The following is an 18,163-nucleotide window of genomic DNA, read 5'->3' on the forward strand; positions in this document are numbered from 1 at the left end:
GAACTGACACCGTGTCATGCAAAATGGTGAGGCCTCTGGAATACGTTTCCAAAGCCAGCCTTAGAAATAGAGCTGCGTAGGCAGCGAAATATTTATTTTCAAATTCATCTGTGTACATTTTCAAAATTACTGCTCTCTAAATTTTCTTTGAAATGTCTGACCTGCTGTTCATAAGTCAAAAAATATAATCTCTCTTTTGTAGGAATCCAATTGGTAAATTGTGTTAAAAAAAATATTAGACTGCCTACTGCCATTAGATGGTGGGTATCTGGGCCTCACACGGTTGGTCTTACCTTAAAGAAAAACTGCCTTAATTGCCATGTGGCCCTCATGGAACATGCTGTAGTAAGGTGATTTTGCCTTCATCAATTAATGGCCCCAAAATTCCAGAACAGTTGTAGAATGAAGAGGATTCTATTTGTTAAAAGCCAAATGATATGCTAATGTAAAACAGATAAAGAGGTAAGAGGCCCAGTTGGTCTTCCTAGTTCCACACTGGCAGTTTTTTCTTTCCATATTTTGCAGAATGAGCAAAGAAGGTATTTGTTTTTAAAATACTGGCAGAAGAAAGCTCCTAGATCAACACAGAGTCTACATTTTAAATAACATTTAGGCTGCTGAATGAGGTATGCCCTAAACTCCTAGAGACCAGGTGTGACACTGAGACATGGGCCAATTTCAACACTTACCTGAAAGGTATCCAAATCACTTTGGTCAGATATCAAGTTAGCGATCTGGTGAGACACAGTATTTCCCAATTTGGGCTGAGCTAGGAATATTGTAAAAATGGATGCATATTACAAAAAATGTGGCATAATCATTTCAAAGCAGAAGTGCATAAAATGTGTAGAGAAAAGGAGATGAACTGTACATTTTAAATCTCAAGGTAGACCTTCAATATACCAAATGGACCACCCATTTTTGTCACTCCCTGGACTTCTCAATAGGACTTTAAGATTAACAGGGTGGGTGGCCTACTTAATTCTTGTATTAGGATATTCAGCTTCCTGTCCAATGCTACATCCTGCATAAATTTACACAAAGGCAAAATCTAAGACTCCTGAGCTGGGATTTCCCAATATCTTCTGATGACTATAGATGGCTTGCATTGCTGAAATAAGGTCAGAGAGTTCATTTCTGCTACCCTAGAAGAAGGCTAGGGAATGAAGAAATGAGGAAAAAGCAGAATGAAATCAATACTAAGACTTTAAGTTGGAAATGTACTTAGCTGTCTTCTTGACTGGTGGTCTTCAAACATGGGTGGGCATAAAAAGCACTTATGAAGGTTTTTAAATATACACATGCTTGGGCCCCATCCTAAGATTCTCATTCAGAAGATAAGAGTTCCGGAGCCTAACTGTGAGTTTTAAAAGCTTTGATCCCTAGATCTTGATAAGGGTAATAATTACCTTAGTTCTGATGCACCCCTAGGATTGAAAACCACTGACTAGTCATTTATAGATAAGAAACTGAGACTTACAAATGTAAGTCACTTTGCCAAAATCCAACATGCTTGGGTTCAAAATACAAACAATGGAGGAAAATTATGTGAGCACCTGACTGGGCATCTTAGGAGGGCTCCATGTTGAAGCAGTCCCATTATGTCTTGGATTCAAGACAGAGCTGTATGCATTTTAGATACTGTAGATCTATATAACCAGTAAGATATTTCTCAGACAGATAGTAGTGAAGTGTTTTAATGTAATACAATCAGATATATTATGAAAATATTCAGAAGGACGAGAGTAAAGTGTCTTGAAAGGGTACCTTCCTCAATATCACACAAGTATGTGGTATAAGCCAACTGTAGCCCTGCCAGCTGTGGCCATTTTCCTGAATCTCAAAATACCCAAAAAATTACTAGTTTCACCATTACACCTATCTTAATGCACGGATAGATTTCAAACTAACACAATGAAAAGGAAGGAAAGTGGGGTGTTAGGTGGCACCTCTGCGCAAATGAAAAAAATGGATGCCTCTTCCTCCAAGCTGACACAGCCCCAGTGCCATGCCAGGGTACACTGGGATAAACAATTGCTAGATTTCGGCCCTTGCTAGTCCCCTCAATAAGGAATCCTGGTTCAATGAACAAACTGCATGATCATATCCAGTCATCTAAAGCACAGGTCAGCCAACTACAGCCCAAATCTGGGCTGCCACCTGTGTATGGCCCTTGAGCCAAGAATTGTTTTTATATTCTTAAATAGCAGGGAAAAACAAAAGAAGAATGTTTTGTGATGTGAAAATTATGTGAAATTTATACTTCAGTGTCCACAAATGAATTTTTATTGGAATACAGCCATGCTCATTCATTTACATATTGTCTATGGATACTTTTACATGACAAAAAACAGAGTAAGTAGTTGCCACAGAGACAGTATGGCCCACAAAACCTAAAATATTCACTATCTGGCTCTTTACAGAGAAATTTTGTTAATCCCTGATCTAATGGGAAGAAAAGAACTACTAGTAAACCAAATTCCTTTTGCAGATATCATAAAAAGTTCCAAGCAAACATGGCAGGTGAAATAGTTTATACATACAAACTTGAAACTGAGACAACGATGGAGGAAGGTCAACTTCATTACCCAGCCACCTTGACAGTACCTTTAAATGTCATCAATCAGAATGCGCCTTGCAGGACTTGCAGGGGCTCATTATAAATTACAGCACACGGGCCACTGACACAATCCAGGGAGGGTAACAGGGCTCTGGTGACGTAACATGATAAAGAGATTTCTTTGTAGAGCTCTACATGGCACAGAGCTGGAGAATTTCCAGGAAATTGAATTTCTAGAGTGCCACCTTTGACTATCCAAGACAATTCCATCCAAGCACCGAGCATCTTTGAAGAAAATTTTATCTTCTGGAAATGCTTGCCACTGGGTGTCATCCTCAAAAATATAAATTTGAAGCTATTTTTTCCAGTGAGACAGACTAAATCCAGGATGTAGATTTTCCAATTAGACTCCTTTTAAACATCTGTTGGTAGGCTGCATTTAACATTAGTTATTTGTGCAAAGGACAATTTGATTAGACTGTCTGAAACCAAGCCAAAGTCTGCAAAATAATAGCTCAATTAAATTCTGTTTTGCTTTCATTTGTCTTAGATTTCCCTGAGTGTGATACTGTTGCAAATAATCAAGTAAACCAATTCCTTTCAAAATGAGAGATTTAGGTGTATTTTCCTTCCTCCCTGCAAGTATATTCCATCTTCACTATGCTTCATTGAACGTAATCTTGACACCAAATACATTTCTGTATTTTGCCTTTAGTCTCCTTTAATTTTCTATACTTACGAATTAAAGTTCTATGCCATTAATATTATACCTTAAATGGATTAGCAAATGTACAAAGGCAGGCACAGGGCATTAGGGTAGTCTAACCGCACTACAGGAATGTTCTGATTTTCACTCCATACCTGGCAGGATTCATTTCATCAACCCAATGAAAGATTTAGGCAGGACTGACACAGGATTTTTTTTAATGCTGTTTTTATGGTCTTGAAATGTTTCTAGGGGCTCGCGAACCTGAGACCAGTCTGAAGCCTCTTCAACTGTGAACCAGTATCAATTTTCCTTTCTTTTTGGCTTAGGTATTTTACTCCTTCATTCAGTCACTCATTCATCACTCAGTTATTCACTAACTCATTCATGAATAAGTGTCTATGCTTTATGTCAGGAATGGTGCGGAATGTCACAGCATCAAGATTTCAGATTAAGGACCAGTTCTTTGCTGGTGAGACTACCTATCATTAATTCATGTAAAATTCTGGAAGACAAGAACAAAAGAAAGACCAGGATGGAATTTTTAGAAGACCATGACCCTTATTTGTGCCTAAAGTGACACATTTAGGAAAAACACTGTGCAATCAAAATAATGCTGCTAAAAGTAGTTAGTAGCACGGATGATGACAGAAGCTAAACTTTATTAAGTACTTTTTATATGTCTTTCTAAGCTATTTACAGATGTTACTCAGCTAATATTCATAACAACACCATGGGATAAATGCTATGATTACCACATTTTACAGATGAAGAGCCTGATGTCCTCCCATCAATTCCGGTTACCCAAAAGTTGATTATAAGCAAAACGATGGTCCACATTACACAGCTAAAACACGCATTTGAAAAATGGCCAGTACCTAGTGAACTAAATATAACTTGGAATTTACTAGGTTATTTTCCCTTTAAAAACAGCTTTTAGGTTGCACACAGTGGCTCACGCCTATAATCCCAGCACTGTGGGAGGCCGAGGTGGGCAAATCATTTGAGGTCAGGAGTTTGAGACCAGCCTGGCCAACATGGTGAAACCTCGTCCCTACTAAAAATATAAAAAATTGGCTGGGCGTGGTGGTGCGCCCCTGTAATCCCAGCTACTCCAGAGGCTGAGGCGGGAGAATTGCTTGAACCCTGGAGGCGGAGGTTGCAGTGAGCTGAGATCATGCCAGTGCACTCCAGCCTGGGCGACAGATCGAGACTCCATCTCAACAAAGCAAAACAAAACAAAACAAAACAAAACAAAAAAACCCCACAGTTTTTACACAGGCACTTTTCATGCATTAATCAGTTAATCTTCACAACTGCCTTAGGTAGGTGAGGTTACCAGCCACATTCTCTAGATAAGAAAACAGAAATACAGAGAAGTTAAGCTACTTTTCCAAGGTCACACAGGATTAAAGGTGGTACCGGGACTATAACCTGCCAGTCAGACACCAGAGGCCATGGTATTAATCACAATGTAATGCTGCCTCCTCCCCCAACATATTCTGACATATACAATCTCCAAAACTCAACCATGCAGCTGAGTTTGTGTGGCAGTCCAGTGTAAAAGATCCTGTGGCTTTAAAGGACAAATCACATTTCAGAGCTGATCAAGAAGAGACATGGTTTTAGGATAAGAATGCAATTTGCCCAGTCTCATTTAAGGTTACAGGGAAAAACACAAAGCATATGTTTAAGTTTAGATAATACTTCAATAGTTACCACAGAGTCTATTAGACTTCCCAGAGAAAAAGACCTCTCCACTCTGACATGGATCAGCATAGACTATGGTCAGATAGGTCTATGGCAAGCTTGGCAAACAGAAGGTGCACATAGCACTTCTCCCATCTCCAGTGCCCATGGCAGACATACCTAATCAATCGTGGCACTCTTCAGAGCCCATCTCAGACCCACAGTCCTTCAAACAGCACTCTAGGTAGAGCCACTTCATATCCTCAACAAAGTTGGTAGTCACAACAAAACCTCTTCGGTGTGTAATTCTATGTGGTTCAGACTCTTATTCTGTTTCTAGAATAAATAACAATCCCTTTACGCTCTCAAACAAACAACAAACCAGACATAATTTCACTGATGTCTTATTAAAAGCAATTTCATTAAGTCTGACAAAGCGGCTCTCCCATGTGCAGACAAGGGAGTGTCTCGCCTTAAGGTCTTATAGTCAGAGGAGATCAGAAGAAACCTTCTAGGGGGCAGTGGTAGATACCAATGGAAAAGAAGCAGGCAGTCACATGGTGGAGAACTTAGGAACGGGACAGCCCTTCACATCATGTGGTTTTTAGTTTCTTTCTGAAGAAAGCAGACAAAGATAATCTCCTGAAATTAAACTCACACACAATTTAATCACCAAAGGTCTTCTCTCTAAACAGCAGGCAACACAGTACACAGTATCTGCAATTCTGGATTTTGGGGACTCTGAACTGTTATCAAATGGACTGCACTTTTATCCAGCTCCTTACAAAGGAATGATGACTCTGAATTCATGACTCTCTCCCCTCTCCCCAGTCAGAAGGCTATAAACTTCTTCTCGGGACATCTAATTTAATGCAAAGCTGGAATGCTAATTAACTAGATGAAGGCAGCAGGATGGAGACATGGTATGATACATAACGGTTCTGAAGAGCAGAATGACATGGCGTTCGAGGAGAGGATAGGAGGTGAGCGATGCATAAAGAACAGAAGATTCTTTGAGGGGAGGGGGTGACGGGTTGGAAAAAGTCTTTGCCAAAATCCCAGCAGGTGGCACCTGAAGGGACAGCTCTAGAATAAGGTGGCAGCAGGGGAAACACAGAAAAAGGAACGGACAGAAAATACCAGCGGAAGGAAAAATGGCACATGTGAGGATGAATAACATGCTGAGGATGAAGGAAATTCCTAGGTCAGTGATGAGTCAAATGACTGTGACTAATAAGACCTGGGGACAAAAGGGATCTGCTGGATTAGAGATACTGAAATTCATGTGAAGGCGAGCTAAGAGAGAACCACAGGTAGGCACTTAGGAGCAGTACAACAGGTCTGGAGGCACCCATGTGTGTGAAGGTTCTAGAACAAGCACACAGCCCAGATGCACTGAAATTAAAGGGGATCAAAGAAACTGAACTTGGGGGAAAGAGTGAACTTGGGTTCCAGAAATGAACTGGGAAGCAGAAAGAAAACAGCATGGAGGCCAGGGGGTACTGATTTGAAGAAGTTTAAATGATGGCATTTTCCAAAAAAAACAAGTTAGCCCATGCAATGTATTACTAAGAAGGCCAGACAGGTTAGAAGGATGGAGACATGGCCACTAAATTTAGTGACAATAAAATTCAAGAAAATGATGAGGAGAAAAGCCAGACTTGGGAGGAGTTTAGGAAAGAAAGTGACTGGGAAAAAGCAAAAAAAAAAAAAAAAACACCACAAGGAAGCAGCAGGCACAATATTCTGAGTCTAAAAGCTTGGCAGCAAAAGAAGGAGCTAGAGGAGAGTAGCTGGGAAGGATCGAGTCATTCAAAGTTTTGGAACTACCCATTTAAACTCCACATTTACCATGAACACCGCTAAACGTTGAGCTCTGTCTGCTTGAATATTTACCAAAGTTCTTCAATGGGACATAATGTAAAAGGACAAGGGCCGGCGCTCTTTGCCCAACTGTGTCCAGCAGCTTTAAATTCTACTACTTAAGTAGTTAAAAATCTGTTCTTTTGTTGAAGGAGAGAACTTATGAATAGAAGGCAGCAACCCCAGACCCTTTAGAAATGACTAGTATTCAGTCCCTGTAATTTACCGGGCAATAATTTCAAACTCAAACAATCCCAACAGCAAGGTGGCTGAAGTCCACCAAAAGTTCAAAATGGGATATGTTCTCTTTAAAATTTTGAGAGCGACTAAATATGACAACCATCTGATGTATGAAAATTATTCACAACCAAAAACAGACAGTCTGGAAATAGCCGGGATGACTTCATTTAGACAGAATTACCCAAATCTGTTTCTAATATACACAGTACACATAATAAATTTTTACAATATGACAAGGAAAACAAACTTAATAAAAGTTCCCGATCTTTTGTTACACAAGCATGCTATATCCATGCTATGTTTATAATAGTTTGCTCATGATATCACAGCTCAGTAACAAAGGCCCAAGCAATACAAAAACAGTTACTAGGCATGACATCAGCTCACAACTACCGTAATTACATCGGTACACAAATTTCCCAAACTGTACATTTTCCAAACTGCTTCTCAATTTCAACGGCTGCCTTTAGACAATTACTTGCAGAGCTGTCTGCAGGCTTTGAGTAATACCCGTCTTTCTTCTCTTTCCCAAGCGTCATTTCCCTTTAGAAAGTGCATATTTCAATTATAAGCACTATTTTTCAAATATGCCCATCAACATATGTCCAAATTAGGAGACGGTGTGGTCTGGTGGTTAGCGAGGAGCATTAAGCATCAGCAACTCTGATTCCATTCCTTTTGCTTTCCCTGTTTGCGGGGCCCAGGTGGTAGCTCAGGGAGAGGCAGTAGAGTGTAATGGATGAAAGCATAGACTCTTGAGCCAGATTGTGTGGGCTAGAATCCCAGCTCTGCCACTTATCAGCTGTATGGCCTTGGACAAGTTAACTTCTCTATGCTCCACTTTCCTCCCCTGTAAAATGGGAATAATAATAGAACTTACCCCATATGGTTGTTGTACAGTAGTTGGCTCCTAGAAAGTACTATATAGTATTTACTATTTAATATGATAACTATTATCTTTCTGGGACTCAGTTTCCTGTTTGAAAACCTGGCTTAAATTAACCTGACTTAGGGTAAACTGTTTAATTTTTCTAATGTCAGGGTAGGGGGTTGCAGCCTGGTCACATTATCTCAAGATAGTGAAGTTCAATGAGTAAAGTTTGAATGAATGAATGCATGCATGTATGAATGAATGAATGAAAATATAGGTCCTGAAAATAACCCATAGTTACAGAAGTGAAAAATACTATATTGTGGAACTTGAGCTTCATCCTATTTTCTCTAATTGCTTATTTTCATGTTCCTGCAATGAATGTTGATAAACATCTCTGACCCAATAGAAATAATAAGTGTAGGGAAAACAGATATTGCCTTGTGATTTTAGAAGTGTATTTCTCTAAGCACCAAACTTTTCGAGCTCATCCTATATGCACAACCTCTGTCTCACCGTGTTGTGTGGTCAGCTGGCTTTCCTGACCGGGCAGGGTGCCAGGGGAGTGCGACTACCTCCATTGTCACTTCTGGTCCATGGTATTGCACCAAATGCTGTTATTCTAGGCTCCAGGAAATTTTCTAACCACTGGACAGGGTCCAATGCTGTGTGCTAATGAGTTTCAGATTGGAGGACCTCACTGTGCATGTGTCAGAAAAGTGCCACGGTTTATAGCAAGGTGGGGGGAGGGAAGAAAAGACACACCAAAAGAAAAAACAGTAGTTAAAAAATGCTGGCTACTCAAATTGACAGGGAACGTGACCTCTGCACTTCAGCAGAAATTCTTGCAGACTTACAAAATAAAGGAGTTTGCTTTTATCGCACACTGTGAGACTCATATGGAAAAATGGAAAACACTACATCACTTGACCTCAGCGTGCCCCCTTTCAACCACAGACGAATATTGTGTACAAAAATTCTAAATCAACTTAAGATGTTCCCCCCCCAAAAAAAGAGAGAGGCTTTAATTTTCTACATTAGACTTGATGATCACTATTTTGGTTCTGAGATTTTGCTCAGAAGATTCACACAGGAAAAAGACTCAAAATTCCAGGAAGAGTATTTTACCACTTTGGGGATAATGATGTAGTGGTCTCTATTGGCGGGGCGCATCATCGTCTATACTCCCATTGCACTGGAGAATACTGAGCAAGCCTGACTCGCCCAGGCCTGAAAGTCACTCAAGACTAAAATCATGATTATTTGCTTACATTAACAGAACACTAAAACCAATTTTAAACAACTTAAGGAAACTCGAGCCATCTTTGCTGGGTGATTCACTGCCATGGGAAACCAAGAAGCTCTTTTCTCCCTTCAAGGCAACCAATAGGCTTGATAGCAAGACCTCATTGTGGGATCACAGCCTATCCAAGAAGAAGCCGCCCTTCTGCTGCTGTTGCTGCTGCTTTTATTTTTTTCGTTAAGAAGAATCACTTCTTAGGAGTGTCTAACAGAACTTTTGAGTAATGAGATTACATTTCAGTTTTTTTTCTTTTGCCACACTTAGTCCTGGGGACTTTAAAAATCCAATTCTTTCACATCCTCTAACTGTCATCAACATTTTTTCAGATGGTGTCAATAAAATTGATTGCTTGCAGTTCTGAATTCTGTTCTGCATATGGAAACAATATAATTTATTTTAAAGAATTTTCAATAGGGATGGAAGGAGAAATGGAACCTCAGGAAACCCATCCACAACATTTGGGGAGGGGTGGGAGGGAGCAAATCCAAAGCAAAGTAAACATCCTGAACATTACCGGACGCTGGAAACTTTGACAAAACGTCCTGATATATAAACCCTAAACCTGACTGTTGTGCTGACTGATACATCTTTCTGTCAGATATGAATGATGTTTCTGGAGCATTAATATGTTCATTAAATTCTAACTCCCTATACTTAAAATATTCTCTACTTTGGCTCAGAGGCATCTTGACAGCTTTGTTGTAATCATATATGTGAGGCCCCCAGTCTACACAGTTGTAGAGATGCCTCATACCTACAACCAATCTGTTGCTTTTACAAGTTCAATCTAGTTATTAAGCAGCTGATTGTGGAACCACGTTGCTTCGACATCTTCAACTCAGCTGTATATCACAGAAACCACTATGGGTGGTGACAGAGTCCCATGATGCCTAGCAACTGTACATGCCCCTAACTCCTTAATCCGTGATACTACAAAATATGGCTTGCGTTTTCTTTTTTTTTCCCCCTCTTTCCCTGAAGCACAAGTGGACGACCAGCAAGGGTCCGACAGTGTTATTCCTAATTACCTTTTTTTTCACTCTTGATCCTGTGGCTCTCATAATTAGTTACCTGGGGCTGCAATCCAATTTGAAGTGATGACAAGAAAGTGATCCATGAAAAAGTAATAAGTTAAATCCAATTTCAGCCTTCCTCTAATTAAATGCACATGGAACTAATGACTCCAACCCTAGCATTTTAGTGATAATGGTAATTAGCGAGGTGGGAGTCACTCTCTTTTTCAACACTGGAGGTGTAAACCACAAGGTAAAATGGCAGGAGCACTCTTAATTACATGTGTCATTTTGTCAGCAATTTACACATTTTTGACCAGTCAAGTATGTTTTTCCCCTGTCCCTCTCCACCTCCTAGCCCCAACAATGATTATAATAAACTAGTCCATGTTCCAAACGCATGGACGCTCATAAGAGCACTTCAGACTTGAAAATAAGAAATAACTTTGCTTTGCTGTTGTTGATCACCTTTCTGTCCCCACCACACACACAGACACACACAGAGACACACACGCACAGGCACACACACAGACAAATAAAGATATACTTAGGGTAATTATGCAGATCTGAGTCCTCTTAATTGAAATCCAGATATTTATAGTGGAACTGATTTTTGTTGGTTTCAGCTGTCTTTTTTTTGCTTATAATATGGAAAATAGCGTAATTTACTTATTTATGGAAAATATGACACTCAGTAGGTGCTGAGTAAACACACATAAAAAGAGAGGCAATAATTAACCTCTTGACGGCACACTGGTTATCTGTGGTTCTAAAAAACCTGGCTTCCCATCCTGGTGCTGTTACTACCTTTGTGCTGTGTAGCAAGTCAGTTAATCTCTCTGTTTCCATCTTCCTCATCCATTAAATGATTTAAGGACACTGCCTATACTACAGAGTAGCTAAGGAGCTGGCCCACGTTCAGCACTGACTAAACATTCATTATCTATCACACTTTGCATGTGGTGGCAAAGACATGATTACATATAAAATATTAGCATCACATTTGCATTGTAATTCTTAGATACATTTAAACTAGTGATCATATAATTAAAGTCCAAACTGAGTTCCTTATTTTTTGTTTCTTTTTGAGACAGAGTCTCGCTGTCGCCCAGGCTGGAGTGCAGTGGCGTGATCTCGGCTCACTGCAACCTCCGCCTTCCAGGTTCAAGCGATTCTCCTGCCTCAGCCTCCCGAGTAGCTGGGACTACAGGTGCGTGCCACCACGCCCAGCTAATTTTTGCAAGATGGGGTTTCACCTTGTTGGCCAGGCTGGTCTTGAACACCTGACCTTGTGATCCGCTCGCCTTGGCTTCTCAAAGTGCTGGGGTTATAGGCGTGAGCCATTGCACCCGGCCACTTTTTTTTTTTTTTAATCGAAATAGAGTCTTGCTATGTTACCCAGACTGGCCTCAAACTCCTGAGCTCAAGAGATCCTCTGGCCTCAGCCTTCTTAGTAGCTGAGATATGGTGCACACCACTGCAGTTGCACCTGGTTCAAATAGGGATTTTTTTTTTTTTTTTTTGAGCTAGGATCTTGCTCTGTTTCCCAGGCTGGAATGCGGTGGCACCATCATGGCTCATTGTAGCCTCTACCTCCTGGGCTCATTCAATCCTGCCACCTCAGCCATCAGAGTAGCTGGGACTACAGGCACCGGGCCCGGCTAATATTTTTGTATTATTCACAGAGATGGGGTTTTGCCATGTTGCCCAGGCTGGTCTCTAACTCCTGGACTTAAGTGATCTGCCTGCCTCAGCCTCTCAAAATGCTGGGATTACAGGTGTGAGCCACTGTACCTGGGGATACCTTCAAGAGTGGGAATTATGAATAAACAAAACCAATCAATAGCCATGGAGTGGGCTGTCCTGGGCAGACTGGGACACAGGGCCACCTATGCACAGCTGAAGTTGAAATAACAAAAACGAACGAACTCATTATATTACAACTTGCACCAAAATTTTGGAGGCAAGGACAAAACAGACTATCAAAGAAAAACAAAATCTTAAAGCAGGAGTATCAGCCTGGACCCCAAGGTGAACTTCTTGAAGTTCATGAAATCCCTAAAACTGGATGTGACATTCTGTGTTCATGTGCGTTTTTCTGGGAGGAGGGGTCACTGTTTCTATCATATTTGTAATGGTGCATGTAATCAGAAAGGCTTAAGAACTATTTCTAAAATATTTCTGTTTTATTATTTCTTATCGAGACTTATTTTTAGGGTTTTGGGATTCTCAAAAGTCATGTGATAACAGTAACATCTTAAAGATATCAAAATTTCAATGCTTTGTATCAATTTAAAATGCTAGGGGTGCCAATTCTAGACTATGTTAACTCTAGACATTAAAAAAAAAAGTTTGCTTCTCTCTCCTAAATTATCCTCCTTACTAATCAGTGCATAGGGCTATTTCTTAAGGGTCAGTACTTCAAAACCATTCCATTTCACTATCAACAACATAAAGTTGTAGTTTCCTTTACAGGTTTCCTCTTGCCAATTTCTTCTTTAGTGAATAACGTGGAAATGATATGAGCTACTAAGATTATATGCGGCATTAATGCAAAGCAAAATGCTGCCTAAAGCATGTTTTATATAACTGCAAATAAAAATGCTAAAAAAACACCTGCTGAATCTTGTATTTTAACCTCCTCCACTTAAAGCAAGAATCCACATGATCACCCTGAGCTTCCAAGTGGACTAAAGGGCCGGCCTTCTAAGTGGGTTTCACTTTCCCTGCAGTGAAATGGCCTTCTGAGTAAGGGGCTCACACATGACATCACCTTGGAAGGAAGGGCATGGGCAGGAAGGAAAACTATCAGATGACTGGCTTCAGGTTCAAATTCTTTATAGAGGGCCTGAAGCTGGTGAGCTTTCCACTGTAAGCAACACACAAAGTTTACTTTCTTTCCTAACTTTAATGCTGCCAGAATACACATGTACTCTTACTTTCTTAGGAGAAAATGTGTCATTTGATTTCCTTCCAGTTTATGTACTCGTGCCAACAACTAAAATGCTTAAAGAACCAAGATGAATTACTACCCAGAAACGGTGGTCAAAGTTCCAAAATTTGATCAATAAAATTGCTCATCGACTCACAAATTAATCTTCAGCCAGTAAAGTTACGCATTTTCGAGGTTATGAGTACACCTGCACTGTTAAGCATTTATTTCACTTGTTTAAGCAATCTTCAGAAGTATATAAATATTTATAGAAGAAAGCCTATGCTGGGCACAGTGGCTCATGCCTGTAATCCTAACACTTTGGGAGGTCGAGGCAGGTGGATCACCTGAGGTCAGGAATTCAAGACCAGCCTGGTCAACATGGTGAAACCAAGTCTCTACTAAAATTACAAAAATTATCTGGGCGTGGTGGTGCATGCCTGTAGTCCCAACTACTTGGGAGGCTAAGCAGGAGAATCGCTTGAACCTGGAAGACGGAGGTTGCAGTGAGCCGAGATCGCTCCACTGCACTCCAGCCTGGATGAAAGAGCAAGACTCCATCTCAAAAAAAAAGAGCCTACTATTTTTACTCATCTGTAATTTTCGTTTTGCAGCAAAATCTTGTTAATTTGTTTACAACTCATAAGCCTCCTGAAGGCAGGGTGTGTATCTTCAACAGTTCTGTATCCCATGAACACCAGCACCATGCCCAGCCTGCTTTGGAAATGTTCACCAACTTGCACTTAATTAATTCAGATCATTCTGATTCTGAATTTATGATGGGGCCAATTTTCAATTTTCATTTGTATCATTCATAAAAAAATTTGCGAAGCAAATGAACAGACTAAGTAAAAAGATAATTTTGGTTACTAAGTAGAATATTTCTCAAGAACTTCAGAAGCAATATCTATACCCGATTAATGCCTTCATTAATAAACCACATCACCCAAGAATGTGACCAGCTCAGATTTGGTTCAGTATGTGGATCTGCAAAGAGTGCCATTTCTCTCTTATTTACTCTCATCTCCCTGAAATTAGACCAAATTGGTGATGTTTGACTATATTTTATGATCTCTATCGAGTAACCACTTATAGCCTCCTCTAACTTTCCATTTTCTTTTGTTTGTATCATCAGCCTGTGAAACCAGAGAGCGCTGCCAAACATAAAGCAGGGAAGTGTGAGATATGCTTAAAATATGAGTCACAGTATATTTGGGGATTTGGGGGTTTTTTTTTTTCCCTCAAGCTATCAGCAGATCAAATCCTTCTTCCCTGTCAAGCCTTCCTCTATGCAGAAGATCTGAAATTTGCTAAAATCGGTCTCTCAGTGTAGTTATGAAGGGTGAGAAGATCAGAGATGAGCACTGTTAAGATTTGCTGTAGGATTTCCCTTTCATTTCAGAGCCACTCCGGCGGAGACGCCTCAGCAAGGATGCAGTATGGCAAGATATATTTAAATATGAAGGTTATTCCTTCTGTGAATCACCAGTCTATATGCATATTTTTATAATGAGGTAATATACCATGTGACCTAGGATAGTAATTTCTCCTCTGTTTGTGGAAGGCCAGCCAACCTAATAAAGCTTACTGAATGTGCATGACCCTATCAGGCAGCTGAGGGGTCCTTCAGCAATCGTCTGTGATACACACACACACACACCAGTCCACCAACCTTTTAGATTTATTTCCCCCGGCCAAATCTTAAAGCTGGTCTAAATTCTCTGCTTGTCAATTCCTCTACTTGGGGGGTAGGGGAAAAACTCAAGACATCTTCTTTACCAAAACCAGCGTTCAAGATTACCCCTTCTCCCCCTACTTTTTATACAGACTGAAGTGCTCAGCAGAATGTGTGAGGTTGGTTTTGACACTGTCCTTGCCAAGAAAAACGGAGCCCTCTATATCATCCACTTCTGCATGGTGGCTAAAAACCCTGTAACAGGCAAGAAGAAAAAGAGCCCTCAAAAGGAAATCCCCTGAAACTTTACTTCTTATATTTAGCCCTCAAGGAACTTCGTTCATCTTGGAAAAGAAGTTACCTAAAAATGCCATATGTTTTTAAAAAGCAAGTATGAGGGAAAATAATTCTACCATAAAAAAAATCACAAATGATATTCAATACTGAAGAGCAGTGTGATCAGACAGATTGTGTATGTGTGTGTTTTTTTATTATCTCTAACCAAAGCTCTACTATGTGTAAGATTTCCCCCCCAATAATATATTTTCATTTTCCCAATGCACTTGAGGCCTGATGAATTCAAGAGGACTCGGGGTATTTTTAAGGCTGTAAGAGCTCCAAGAGGGAGGCAAAAAGAATGGACCATCATTTGAATCACTGAGTGACAGGCTGGGCTAGCTCCCTGTATACATTAATAAATTAGAATTTTAATTGTGTCTCTGTCCACAGGAGATGCCCCAGTACTTTAATATGTACCAACAATTGGCTATGTTATGGAATCTGCAATGTGGCCTCCGCTGCTGACCTCTGAAACACAATTCCCAGTCTGACTACGGAAACTGTTCAGTTTGATCCTTTCAACTTATTTGAATCCTGACAAATAAGCTCACAGCTGAAAGGTCAACATAGTCGTATTTCATCCTCCAGAGCTGTTCTTAAGACATCTGCACAACAAAGCACTTCTTATAGCACCTGACATGGGCCCTCAATGGCACTGTACCTCATTAAAAATGTCCCCTGCATGCGCACGCATTCCAAGGCACATGGTCTGGTGATGGTTTACCAAATAAGTGTTTACAGAAGGGTTAGTAAACAAGGCAGATTGTCAACTTTTCCAATAAAGCGTCACTATAGTGCTGAACTCTCTCTGGAAAGTGACAGTTTCCCAAGTACATGTAGAAGAACTAGAACTTGTTGGTCAAGGTCAGTTTGATCTTTGGGGATAATCTGGGAACAGGCTGTGGTTCACCCTGACCTGTGAAAAGTAAACACAAGCTAGAATTTAGGTTGACCTCATTATCCAATTAATTGGCACCAAGTTATATACCTATCAGCTACCGCTTATAGATTCTGTCCCCTCCTGTGACAAGGATGCCCACCTTCAGCTATGAAAGTAGTCTGAACCACTTAGGACCCGGGTGCCAAGTGCCCTCTCTTAAACGTGAGCATGAAGACCCTGATTCAAGTCTCTTTGAAACTTCTATTACAATTTTCTACTTTGAGTCAAAAACCCAAATTAGATTTTTTTTGTTGTTTTTTGAGATGGAGTTTCACTCTTGTCGCCCAGGCTGGAGCACAGTGGTGCGAGCTTGGCTCACTGCAACCTCCACCTCCCGGGTTCAAGCGATTCTCCTGCCTCAGCCTCCCTAGTAGCTGGGATTACAGGCACCCGCCACCAAGCTTGGCTAACTTTTGTATTTTTTGGTAGAGATGGAGTTTCACCAGGTTGGCCAGCCTCGTCTCGAACTCCTGACCTCAAGTGATCCGCCTGCCTCAGCTTCCCAAAGTGCTGGGATTACAGGCGTGAGCCACCATGCCTGGCCCCAAATTAGATTTTTATAAACTTACTCATTCTTCTACTCCATTAAGCCCTTGCCTTCAATGTGCCTGAAATCAGAAGTTGCTAGAACAACCATTTTTGTATCTTTACATAAAAATTTCTTGCCATTTAAAAATTATTGACCTAGAAACATTCTGAACATATCCACTGAAGAATTGGGTATATATTATAATCATTACAAGCCATAATGTTAAAAGTACCACATCCTCCTCAGGCCGAGTCATAGTTCTTGATGCTATTGACATTCTGGGATGAATCACGGTGTGTCGTGTCCTGTGCATTGCAGGATGTTTGGCAACATCCCTGGCCTGTACTTACTGGATGCCAGCAACACCTCTGCCCTGCTAGTTGTGGCAACGAAAAACGTCTCTAGACATTGCCCATTGTCTCCTGGTGGTGGGTGGGGGGGTGGGGGGGTCGCCAAAATCTTCCCAATTGAGGATGACTACACTAAAGTAAGGTGTGTGTCTGTGTGTGTTTATGCCATTTCTAGACCCAACATAAGAGAATGTGGTGACAATTCTGAGTACTATGAACTTTTCTCATTGGTAACCTACACTGCCTATTAGCAACTCAACACTTACAACTCCTTATCCTTCTATTATATTCACTAATCAGCAGATCTTACTCCTGACAATAAAACTTTTGGTCAAATACACATTTTCCCCAAAATGTTACAACTTGCTGGTAAACCAAAAATGCACTTTCCACAGAAGATTTTCTTACATGATTTGCAATGCTCAACACAATCCACTCCTGAACTGCTTGTCACTTATCCCAAAGGGTATAATGTCAATTTAAAAAGAAAAAGAATTGTTACCTGAAGAGCTGGTTGTTTGTCATTCCTCTTGGGAGATTTTAATCCACTAACTTGCTGCTGCTGTTGCTGCTGAAGAAGGAGCTGTCTTGCCACCTGAAGTGCCTGGAAGGAAAAACAAGAAAATCCTTTGCGTTACTACACAGGTTCAGGGGACTCTTCATAAAAAAGGATTCCAGGAAGTGCGCTTTGGGACTGGGTCCTGACTTTCCTATTTCCTGGCAAATGAAACAGCAAATGAAACTTCCCACCAGTCTTAGTTGGAAAACTTTCCAGAATTTGTTTACGTTCCCTTTGACTCGGCCAGTTTCATCCACGGTTCCACAGGCATCTAAGCAGACATTTTATTCCTACTAAAGATCTGACATGAAATTTAAGACCATGAGTGATTGAGACTCTGAACAAAGATGACAGAGAGACCAGGAGGGACCCAAGCAAAGACGAAAACTTGGGAGACACTACAGGGCCCTTTTCAGGGTCACCTTCACCCTCCCCAAATTCTTCTTGGGGAAATGTAGCGACTCAAGTTGAAAGTAATACTTTCACCCCATCTGAGTCCAAATAAAGAAAAAGAACTAAGTGGTGGACCACAAAAAAAAATATACTATGGATTAGGCTACGTAGAAAGGAAGATTAAACAGATGAGACATACCT

General features: G+C 40.6%; 1 protein-coding gene across 16 annotated transcripts in view, besides 1 other annotated feature; it reads right to left on the reverse strand.

Annotated features, from left to right (window-relative positions):
* Positions 1-18,163, reverse strand: part of FOXP1 (forkhead box P1) — a 629,271-nt gene that overhangs the window by 140,316 nt on the left and 470,792 nt on the right. For all 16 annotated transcript variants that reach the window (NR_146143.3, NR_146142.3, NM_001244810.2 and 13 more), the window contains one exon: positions 17,513-17,614. Coding sequence is in view for 9 of the 16 variants with exons in the window: in NM_001244810.2 (NP_001231739.1) it covers positions 17,513-17,614 (102 nt within the window). In the remaining 7 variants the exon portion in view is untranslated. The remainder of the gene's footprint in view (positions 1-17,512; positions 17,615-18,163) is intronic.
* Positions 9,382-10,879: an enhancer, noted in NCBI's record as "VISTA enhancer hs1092". NCBI's record gives its function as "enhancer in: forebrain[4/5]" and the evidence as "EXISTENCE:transgenic organism evidence [ECO:0001131][PMID:17130149]".

This window comes from Homo sapiens, chromosome 3 (assembly GCF_000001405.40).
Source record: "Homo sapiens chromosome 3, GRCh38.p14 Primary Assembly".
NCBI classification, from domain to species: domain Eukaryota; kingdom Metazoa; phylum Chordata; class Mammalia; order Primates; family Hominidae; genus Homo; species Homo sapiens.